The sequence below is a fragment of the Homo sapiens genome, chromosome 8 (genome assembly GCF_000001405.40).
Source record: "Homo sapiens chromosome 8, GRCh38.p14 Primary Assembly".
In the NCBI taxonomy this organism is placed as follows: domain Eukaryota; kingdom Metazoa; phylum Chordata; class Mammalia; order Primates; family Hominidae; genus Homo; species Homo sapiens.
Genome location: NC_000008.11, coordinates 131,424,290 through 131,436,230, shown reverse-complemented (window position 1 = coordinate 131,436,230; position 11,941 = coordinate 131,424,290). Strand labels below are relative to the sequence as shown.

Here is an 11,941-nt window from a genome sequence, read left to right as displayed (position 1 = left end):
ATAGTTTGCAAATATTTTCTCCCATTCTACAGGATGTTAACTCTGCTGATCATTTACTTTGCTACGAGGTAGCTTTTTAGTTTGGGACTACCATTTGTCTTTTGTTTTTGTTTTTGTTTTCTGTGGTTTTGAGGTCTTATCCTAGACCAATATCCTGAAGTGTTTCCACAATGCTTTTTACTAGTACTTTTATAGTTTCAGGTCTTATGTTTAAGGTTTTAGTTCACTCTGAGTTGACCATTGTATATAATGAGAGATAGGGGTCTAGTTTCATTCTTCTGTATACTGATATCCAGTTTTTCCAGCACCATTTATTGAACAGGGAGTTCTTTCTCTCATGTGTGTTTTTGACACCTTTATTAAGCATCAATTGACTGTAAATATCTGGATTTATTGCTCTATTCTCTTCCATTTATCTATGTGTCTGTTTTTATACCAAAACCATGCCATTTTAATTACAATAGTTTTGTAGTATCATTTGAAGTCAGGTAGTGTAATGCCTCCAGCTTTATTCTTTTTGCTCAGTATTACTTTGGCTTATTAGGGTCTCGTGGTTCCATATGAATTTCAGGACTGTTATTTCTGTTTCTATGAAGAATTTAATTAATATTTTGAGGGGGCTGCACTGAATCTATAAATTTTTTTAGTAGTATGGTCATTTTAGTAATTTCAATTCTTTTGATTCATGAGCATGGGATGTCTTTTAGCTCTGTCAAGCTTTGTTTTATTTATATTAATGGGTTGTTGTTTACTGAATGGACATTTAGAATTGCTGTGTCTCCTGTATCCTGGGTCCCCTTATTATTACATAATCACCCTTTCTATCTTCAGTGACTTTTTTTGCTCTGAAGTCAACCTTAGCTGATGCTAATATAGCCTTGCTTTTAAGAAAAGCCTGTGTGGTATACATTTTTTTTTATCCTTTTACTTTCAGCCTACCTATGTTATTTTATTTGAAATGAGTTACTCGTAGTCACTATATCATATCGTTTGATCATGGTTATTTTTTTACAACCATTCAAATAATGTTTTTTAAATCATGTATTTAGACCACTAATTACCTAAGGTAATTATTTACATGTTAGGCTTAAGTCTTCCATATTATTATTTCTTTTTTAACTTTGTTTTTCTTTTTCTTTATTTTTCTGCTTTGGCCTTTCTTTTGAAACTCCCCTGTGGGTTAATTAAACATATTTTAGAATTTCATTTTTACTTATTTATAGTGTTTTTGAGTATACTGCTTTGTTTAGTTCCTCAGCAGCCATTTTAGGTATTATAATATGTGTATATTATTTACTAAATCCTACTGATATGTTTTATCACTCTAAAGTATGTAAACTTTACTTCCTTTTAGGTCATTTAATTTTCCCACTTTTAAAATATAATTATTTTTATTATTTCTCTATATAAATTGAGCACTAAATCAAAAGATATTATTTTACATAAGCCATCAAATATGATTTAAGACACTCTGGAGAGAAAAATATTTAATTTATTTCTACTTTTGTTGACTTTTATGTTCTATTTTTTCTTTCTGAAGTTCCAAGTTTTTTTTTCCAATTTCTTTCTGTTTAGAGAACTTTCTTTAATCATTTTATAAAAGTAGATTTGCTAGCAACAGTTTTTCTATCTATATATTCAGTGTAATCCCAATCAAAAATCCCAGTGAGATTTTGTGTAGAAATTTAAAAACTCGCTCTAAAAATCATTAGATATGCAAAGAAACTAAAGCAGTCTTAGCAAATGTAAAAAAAACTTAATTTCTGGGGACATATGCTAACTGACTTTAAGAAATTAAAATTAAGACAGTACTTATGTATCTCAATAAAGCTTTTAAACACAACAATAAAAGTGTTCGTTCTTTGAGAGAGATACTATCAATACAATATATAACAAGGCACAGGCTGAAAGAAAGTAACAAAATGCAAATTTCTGACGGGAACTTACATATATAAATAACTTTTAGAATTTAATAATAAGAAGACTATTCAATAAAAATGACAAAAGAGCAAAGTGTTCAAGAAGGCATTCCACATACACACAAAAAAAGATATACACAAATGTCCAATAAGCACAGAAAAACAAATGGTCATCCTCATAAATCATTAGGGAAATGTAAGCTTCCCCAAAGACGTGCCACCACACATCCACTAGTGTAGCCAAAATTACTGTAACCCAAGGTGCCTAGGTTTTCACTGCAAAGAAGTAGCCACTTGTAACTGCTCCATCTTGAGTTCTTGTTGTTTCAGAAAAGTTTCAGAGCAAAGGTGAAAGTAAAGCTCTTACTGGGCTGGTTAGCTGAGTCATTGCATGTAGAGGTAGAATAAAGGCAGCACAGGCGCAGTCATTGATCATGCTGTGCCACTGATTATGACCAGCCCCAGCAAAACAAAAACAAGATGGATCCAGAGATGCCTGAGTTGCAGGTGAATTTGGCAAACTCTCATCATTGCCATACTAAAAACACAGCCCAGGGAGGAGCTTACTCTCCATTTTCCACACATGCGTCTTAGGTAGAAGCATGATCAATGACTGTGCCTGCACTGCCTTTACTCCACCTCCATATGCAATGACTCAGCTAATCAGCCCAGTAAAAGCCTTATTTTCACCTTTGTTCAGGGAGGCACTGCTTTGGGGGACTACCTCTGGTTTCTTCCTTACCTGTTGCAAGTAATAAAATGTCCTTGTTAAATCCTCCTTGGTTGTGGTCATTGGACTGTCACCCACCAAGCAATTGAACCCACCTGTTGTGTCGGTAACATTACTGACAATACCAAATGTTGGTGAGGACAATATCAAGTATTTGTGTTGCTTTCATATGTAGCTTGTAGGAAACATTGTCCATTTCTTTTTTTTTTAATAGTTTAACTTTTATTTTAGCTTCAGGGGAACAAGTGCAGGTTTGTTATATAGGTAAACTCACGACTCAGGGTTTTGGTGTACAGATTATTTCACTTACCATGAGATCCAGAAGTCCCACTCTTGAGTTTTTATTCCGGTGAGATGAAAACTTATGTCCATGTAAATACTTTTATGTGCATTCATAGAGATAATTTATAATATTGCCAAGTTAGAAACAACTCAAATGTCCACTAATAGAAGAGTGAATGGAAAATGTAATGGAGAGCTAGTCAGCAAAAGAAAGGAATGATCTACTCATATATTCAGGAACATGGATCAATCTCAAAAGCATTGTGCTAGCGAAGGAAGACAGACACAAAAGACTATATTGTGTATGTACACAATTAATATTAAATTGTAGAAAAGACAAAACTCTGCCAATATTCTCATTGCTCTGATTTTGTAATAGTCAGGACAGCCTAAACATTTGCTATATTTTTTTAATTTTTAATTTTAATTTTTGTGGGTATAACATTCACTATATTAAGATCATGCATGTGCCCCCAAACCTAATTCTTTTCTTAAGTCTAGTTTTATAAATGCTAATGATGAACGCAGAAAAGAAAAAGGAGATAAAAAAGACAAAGAAAAGGCATAACTTTAGTAATAGAAACAGCTCAATGGTTTCCCAGGGCTGCATTTGGGGGAAGACATTAATTACAAAAGGTCATGAGGAAAGTTTCTGGGGTGATATAAATTTTCTGTATCTCAATTTTGGTGGGTAAGTGGCTATACCAGTTTGTAAAAACATATGAAATATGTACACTTAAACAAATTTTATTTTATCCAAATTATACTTACAAAATGGCCTTTTTAAATGATTGACAGTAGCAAGTACTTCTGGTTAAGCACCTGGCTGAGAGGTGAAAGAGGTTGAACTCCTATACACTTGTTGATGAGAAAGTAAAATGGAACAAACACTTTGGGAAACTGACCACTTCCCTCTCAAAGCTAGATACATTATTCATTAAATATTCCAGGAGTTCCATTCCTAAGTATTTGCCAAAAATAAATGAAAATGTACCTTTATGCAAAGGCTTGTACAGAAATGCTTATTGAAGCTTTATTCACAGTAGCAAAAACAAGAAAATCGTATATACAAGTATTAATCAAGAAGTGAACAATAAATAAAATGAGGTATATCCATATAATAGGATAACAATATAAATGACCATAACAGTAACAATATAAGTGAGCTATAGATATGCAAAAACATGGATGAATCTCAAAGTCGCTATGTAGATTGAAAGATGCCATATACAAAAAGTCCACATTGTACAATTCTACTTACAAAATTTTTTAAAATGCCAACTAATCTACAGTGAAAGAAAACTAATCAGTGGTTGCTTGTCCATAATGTTCACTGCTGATGGTCCAGTGCCTCCCAAAAGCCTTACACATAACAGGAATGACAATGATGATGATGATGATGATGATGATAGTAACTATTTGATATGTATTTATTGAATATATAATGTATTAAGAGACTATTAATAATGACCCTAACTCCTAAAGTGGTATTATGGTGGAGGCCCTTTATAAATCTCAACACCAGAGACCAATAATTAAGGGGTATGTAGTGGGGAGTAGGCAAGTGATATGAGAGCATTGGTTTAAAAAAAATGTATTGAGAAATGTGGAAGCAATTAATCAGTCGTGTGTGGATGGGATGAAGACAGTCTTATGTAACTGGGGACTTCGACTAATTCTTCAGTGAGTTACTGGATTTAAGAAAATAATACCTAAGGGGATAGGGCCTGAGGCCCATTCATGTAGGTGGGAGTGACAACGGGAGCTCTGCAGAGCAGTTACATTTACTGTGATATCAGAAAACCAATGTAAATAATTGTCATGTGTCCTACAAGTAGTCTGTTATTAACAGCAGTACAGATATATGAATGTTGTACTTTGGATTGTATAAGTAAAGTGGATCCAAGGTTAATTCAGTAATAAGTTTGCTCTTACTTACTTGCCTTCTGATACATTTTTTTGAATGGGTCAGAAAAAGTTTAGGTTAATATGAATGTACATCTTAAGTCTACATGTACTAGTAGTATGTTGCACAGATTCATGCCTTCTGTCACGTGTTCTTCCACACAGTAAAGGTAGAGAAGTGCTGCTGTGAGTTATACCTGAGTGTTTAAGAAAATGTGGTACAGATGGAATATGCAGCCACAAAAAAGAATGAGATCATGGTTTTTTTAAGGAACACAAATGGATCTGGAGGCCATTATCCTTAGCAAACTAACACAGGAACAGAAAATCAAATACTGCATGTTCTCACTTGTAAGTGGGAGCTAAATGATGAAAATTTGTGAACACAAAGAAAGGAACAAGAGACAGTGAGGTTGGAGGGTGGGAGGAGGGAAAGGAGTAGGAAAAAATAACCATTGGGTCCTAGGCTTAGTACCTGGGTGATGAAGTAATCTATACAACAAACCCACATGACACAAGTTTACCTATATAATAAACCTACACAAGTACACCTGAACCTAAAATAAAAGTTAAAAAAAGAAAAAAGAAAACTAAGAGGGCTGAGCTTGGAGCCCCTTGAGGCAACAATGGAGTTGGATATTTAGGTCTAGTAAACCTTACACTGGGTGCAACAATAACTAACATGTTCTCTAATAGACTGAACTGTCTCATAGTGATAGGTTTTAGGGATGCAAAAATGAACTAGAGACAGAAATGTGTTCCCAAGAAATCTGAAGTATTGCAGGGGATCAAAAACTCTTCCCTTAGGCTTGATTTTCATGCTTTCTTCTCAGAAAGTGACTCCCTGAAAAAGTTTAAGAACTTCCTCCTCTTTATCCTCCTTCCAACTCTTTCCCCCAATTCAATTTTTATTATTACTTTCAATTTTATTTATATATTTATTTATTTATTTTGGGAAACACAGTCTTTCTTACTCTATCACCCATGCTGGAGAGCAGTGGTACAATCTCAGCTCACTGTAGCCTGGACCTCCAGGGCTGAGGCAATCCTCCCACCTCAGCCTTCTGAGTAGTTGGGACTACAGGTGCATGACATCATGCCCAGCTAATTTTTGTATTATTTTGTGTAGAGATGGGATTTTGTCATATTGTTCATGCTGATCTAATTTTTAATGTTTGTGGATACTTATATTTGTTTGTTTAACATCTTCCCTATCCTATAAGCTCTCTGAGAGCAAGGACCACTTTTTTTTCACAATGTATACACAGGGCTTCATACAATATGTGGCACAAAGAAACACTGTAAATATTTATTGAAGAAATATATTCAAAGATAAATAAATTAAAAGGTGAACAAATGAATAAACATATGTATGTATTTTTCAGTTTTTAACCTCAGGGCAAGCTCTGTTAGGAGGGGGGTTTATTTTTGTTTGTTTGTTTCAAAAGCTGTTCACAGGGGCTTATGAGAAGTGTCGAAAAGTCATTTCTGATTAGCGTGTATGTGTCCAGCAGCACCACCTGTGACTAATTCACTCTTATTTTCCAGAGATGGATTTCAGAGCTTGGTAATGAGTGGCTACATAGCTTTAATGGCAGTGCTACCTGGACATGAGTGCTTAGCAGACAGTTCTTGTGGGAAGCAAGGGGCAAATCCCAGATGGCCAATGTTTCAAAGCCTAGCAACACCTTGCACCCATCCCACCACATGACATTAAACTGCCCATTATTTAGACTGAAATCATCACCTATGTCCTACCAAAGGAGACACTGATTAACAGGATTCCCAACTCTACCAGACTCCCAATTCTGTGTGCATTAGGTCGACCTGAGAAATGTGGTGGTATTGGCTGGTAAGTGAACACTGGGCCAGCTAAGAGGTCCCGGGCAGGAGAAAGAAGGCCAACATATGGTCTTAGTGAGGTATGACTTTGGGAAGCCACTTATCTACCTTGAGCTTCACTTGGCTCATCTATCCAGTGTAGATACACATAATTTTCCAACAAATCATGGTAGGTTACATGAAATTAGGCACACTCCAACTGTTTGGCCTTAACATGTATATGCACATGCAAGGCATGTACTCAAAAACACTTTGTGTCTATTTGTTCTTTAAAAATTACATTTAAATATTTTTAATTTTTCAATTAAAATGGTAGATGCTTTTACACATACAAGAAGGTACAAAGGATAATAAAATGAATATTCATGAATTCACTACCCATTTTTATAACATTGAGTCTTCCAACTCATAAATGTACATACTACAATCTCTATTTATATAAATCAACTCCAATGTCTTTCAAGAAAGTTTTTAATGCTCTCCATAAAGGCTTTGCATATTGTTAAATTCTTTTGTAGATTCCTTTATGTTCAGTTACTATTTCAACTGTATCTTGTCTTTTTAAAACTTGCAATTGCTGTGTACTTCTTGTGTTTCATATATTGATCTGATATCTAGCAAACTTAATGAACATCTTTTGTCATCCTAACATTTAATATGTATATTTCTTGGCTTTTCTATATTACATCACCTGTAAATAATCCAGTTTGGATTATTTTTCAGTACTTTTCATTATTTAGTTTTTGATTATATGATACCAGCTAGAATCTCCAGTTAAGTGGTGATAGGGTTTTGCTGTGTCCCCACCCAAATTTCATCTTGAGTTGTAGCTCCCCAAATTCCCTCTTGTTGTGGGAGGGACCTGGTGGGAGATAATTGAATCATGGGGGCAGGTGTTTCCAATGCTGTTCTTGTGATACTGAATAAGTCTCATGAGATCTGATGGTTTTTATAAAGGGGAGTTCCCCTTCACAAACTGTCTTGCCTGTGGTCATGTAAGATGTGCCTTTGCTTCACCTTCCACAATGATTGTGAGGCCTCCCCAGCCATGTGGAACTGTGAGTCCATTAAACCTCTTTTTCTTTATAAATTTCTCAGTCTCAGGTATGTCTTTATTAGCAGCATGAAAACAGACTAATACAGTAAATTGTTACTGGGAGAGGAGCATTGCTGTAAAGGTACCTGAAAATATGGAAGCGCCTTTGGAACTGGCTAACACGCAGAGGTTGGAACAGTTTAGAGGGCTCAGAAGAAGACAGGAAAAAGTGGGAAAGTTTGGACCTTCCTATAGACTTGTTGAATGGCTTTGACCAAAATGCTGATAGTGATATGGAGAATAAAATCCAGGCTGAGGCGGTCTCAGATGAAGATGAGGAACTTGTTGGGAACTGGAGTAATTCACTTTTGCTGTGCAAAAGGACTGGCAGCATTTTGCCCCACCTTAGAGGCTTGTGGAACTTTGAACTTGAGAGAGATGATTTAGGGTACATGGCAGAAGAAATTTCTAAGCACCAAACTATTCAAGCGGAAACAGTATAAAAGTTTGGAAAATTTTCAGGCTGACAACGCAATAGAAAAGAAAAACCCATTTTCTGGGGAGAAATTCAAGCCCTCTGCAGAAATTTGCAAAAGTAACAAGGACCTGAACGTTAATCACCAAAACAATGGAGAAAATGTCTCCAGGGCATGTCAGAGACTGTCACAGCACCCCTTCCATCACAGGCCTGAAGGCCTAGGAGGTCAAAATAGTTTCGTGGGCTGGACCCCGGGTGCCCCTGCTCTGTGCAGCCTAGGGACTTGGTATCCTGTGTCCCAGCTGCTCTAGCCATGGCTAAAAGGGCCCAAGGTATAGCTCAGGCCATGGCTGTAGAGGGCCCAAGCCCCAGGCCTTGGTGGCTTATGCATGGTGTTGGGCCTGTGGGTACACAGAAGTAAATAATTGAGGTTTGGGAACCTCCACCTGGATTTCAGAGGATGTATGGAGACCCCTGGATGACCAGGCAGAAGTTTACTGCAGGGGTGGGGCCCTCATGAAGAACCTCTGCTAGGACAGCATGGAAGGAAAATGTGAGGTGCAAGCCTCCACATAGAGTCCCCTCTGGGGCACTGTCTAGTGGAGTTGTGAGAAGAGGGCCACCATTCTCCAGACCCCAGAAGGGTAAATCCACAAACAGCTTGTACTGTGCACATGGAAAAGCTGCAGACACTCAATGCCAGCCCATGAAAGCAGCCAGGAAGGAGGCTGTACCCAGCAAAGCCACAGGGGTGGAGCCCAAGACCATGGAGATCCACCTCTTGCATCAGCCTGAATGGATGTAAGACATGGAGTCAAAGGAGATCATTTTGGAACTTTGAAATTTGACTGCCCCATTGGATTTTGGACTTGGATGAGGCCTTTAGCCCCTTCTATTTGACCAATTTCTCCCATTTGGAATGGGTGTATTTACCCAATGCCTGTACCCCAGTTGTATCTAGGAAGTAACTAACTTGCTTTTGATTTTTGATTTTACAGGCTCATAGGTGAAACAGACTTGCCTTGTCTCAGATGAGACTGTGGACTTTTGAGTTAATGTTAAAATGAGTTAAGACTCTGGGAGACTGTTGTGAAGGCATGATTGGTTTTAAAATGTGAGGACATGACATTTGAGAGGGGCCAGGGGCAGGATGATACAGTTTGGTTGTGTCCCAAGGCCTCCCTAGCCATTTGGAACTGTGAGTCCATTAAAGCTATTTTTCCTTTATAATTTATCCAGTCTTGGGTACACCTTTATTAGCAGCATGAGAACAGATTAATACAAGTGGTAAATGTAAACATGCAATGAACGCCTTATGCTCCCAAAGTTGGTTTTAGGTGATCATTCTTTTGCAGTTTACCAAAATTTCTATCTATTCCTATTTACTTTTAAATCTCAAGCCTCTAGCTCTGCAACAAAGTAGATATCTAATAATTAGCTGAATGTTGAATGAATATTATAAAGTTGTTTATGCTGAATTACTGAAAAAATGGCACATATAGACAATGTTTTCAGGACTTAGAGGTGAGTTTGTACTGTGGATTCTAATAATTAAGTGACTTTAAACTAATAGATTAAAAATATGAGTTGGACATTAAAACTATTAAGTGCCAAATCTGATTTCTTTATTTTAATGTGGTAAGAATATATAAAATGAGATCTTCATGTTGTTATCTGTAGATAAAATATTGTGCAGCAAATTTTCAGGACTTATTTATTTTGCATAACTGAAATTTTATCCTCATTCATTTGCATCTCCCCATTTCCCCTTCCTTATGGATAAATGGATTTAAAAATTGCAGTATAAACATACAATAGTATATTATTTCACCATAATTTAGAAAGAAATCCCGCTACAGGCAACATCATGGATGAAACTGGAGAACATTATGTTAAGTGAAATAATCCAGTCTCAAGGACAAATATTGCATGAGGTGGCTAAAATCTTCAAATTCATTAAATACAGAGAGTAGAATGGTGATATTCTTATATGGAACTCTTATATCAACTTAAGGATTAAATGTTATCTCTGCTTTTCCATAAAGAAACTATTAAGGGAAAAGTGAGACTTTGAGCATGCTTTCAGGTTCATGATCTCTACATTATGCCCAGGCCCACCTTAGACACCTCTGTCTATGCATGATAATATGAGGCTTGGATAGGCAGGACAGAGAAAAAGAACAAAGTCAGGATGCCTAGGCCATCCCTTAGAGTATATAGCACCTGCAACAGATGCCCTAACACACTGTATAATCTAAAACAAAAAGGAATTGGTCTTTAACATAATTGCCTTGCCTGTCTTCTTAGCTATTGATGAACTAAGGCATCATCTTAAAAAAGAGGTTGTTTCAGATCACTGTGCATCAACATTTTGCATCTGTGACTAGACCTGCTGATCCAGGATGTTTTACATCTCAATCCACAACTATTAACCAATGTTCATGCAGTGCCTGAGCACACATACAGAACTTGTGATCTGCAGCACTGGCTGAGGATGTCAGTCCACTGGTGTATATTGGAAAGCTAATTGGGGATTCTTTAAAGGGAACTATTGTTTGTTGAATAACTTTTATGTTTGCTCTATGTTTTTACCTTGGATTCTGATAGGTTGATAAATAAACTCTCTTGACCTAATTTATTGCTAGAATCATAGACTCATTGTTAAATTCAGCTCCAAGGTAATATTAAGGATCAAGTAGGTGCCAGACACTGTGCTAGTTGCACTCAGAGGCAAGTAAGCAATTGCCCTTGCATTCTAATTGGAATACAGGCCACCATTTTCATGTGCCCTCATTCCCCCTAGTATTAGATAGGACCCTCCCACACATTTTCTTCATATCACATTTTATGATAAGATTTTGTTCCTGTTTAATATTCTTAAATACCTTGAGCAAGAAAGTGGCTAAGAAGGGCTCAGGAATAGGATAAAAGATAATTTTAGCCTTAGCAGATATCAGTAAGAAATGACTCTAGAGAATGGTAATGAGAAGCAGAATAAGTACTGCATTTGCAGGTATTAAAAATGTTGCAAAAATTACCTGTACAAATGAACCTACCTGAGTATAAATATTGAGAAATTGGGATAGGGAAGGTGTCACCAGCATGGTGCACAGGAAGGAAAGGCTAGAATGGTGATCTTGCTTCTGTTGGGGGAAAGGAGACTGGATATCTAGCCAGACTTCTGCTCCTCTGCTCTGAGACTGACTGCACAGGTATGCCAGCTGGCAGTACACATGGAGAAAACCACAATTAATGCAGACAGCTTTCATGTATTTGCATTTGATGTTTGGGGGGATTCCTCTGTGTGTTGAGGTTTTCTCATTTTATTCAGACCTTGGTTCAAATGCCATTTCTATAATAAGGACTTTCTTGACCAACCTATTTAAAATAATACCCCCTATATCCACTCAATCTCTGTTCCTTTTATCTTTTATACTTTTTATCTTGGAATGTATTACCAGCTTTGTCTATTTGTTTGTCTATTTGTTTATTTTTTATTTTCCCCTTCTAGAAAGTAAGTTGTATAAAATGAGAACTTCACCATCTTTGGTTCACTGTTCCATTCCTAGTGTCTATAACAATGCCTCAAAGTGGACTAGCATCTACACTATTTTTCTTTGGACCTAAATTTTCTTAAGGTTGTGTATCTGATTCATTCAGTCTACTATGCTCTTTGAGAAAGATTGGGCTTTTTTCCAAGAGTCTCTAAGGTGGTATGCCATTCCCAGCTGTATTGTAAACTGACTAGT

General features: G+C 36.6%; 1 pseudogene, besides 2 other annotated features; it reads left to right on the top strand.

Moving 5' to 3' along the window:
- Positions 2,087-2,630: an enhancer, noted in NCBI's record as "OCT4-NANOG hESC enhancer chr8:132445848-132446391 (GRCh37/hg19 assembly coordinates)". NCBI's record gives its function as "activates a minimal SCP1, AML or CMV promoter by ChIP-STARR-seq in primed H9 embryonic stem cells {active_cell/tissue: H9 hESC(primed)}" and the evidence as "EXISTENCE:reporter gene assay evidence [ECO:0000049][PMID:30033119]".
- Positions 3,276-3,455, top strand: LOC124900258 (uncharacterized; annotated as a pseudogene).
- Positions 8,632-8,740: a silencer, noted in NCBI's record as "fragment chr8:132439738-132439846 (GRCh37/hg19 assembly coordinates)". NCBI's record gives its function as "represses an EF-1alpha promoter that drives an FKBP-Casp9 reporter gene in an ReSE screen in HepG2 liver carcinoma cells {active_cell/tissue: HepG2}" and the evidence as "EXISTENCE:reporter gene assay evidence [ECO:0000049][PMID:32094911]".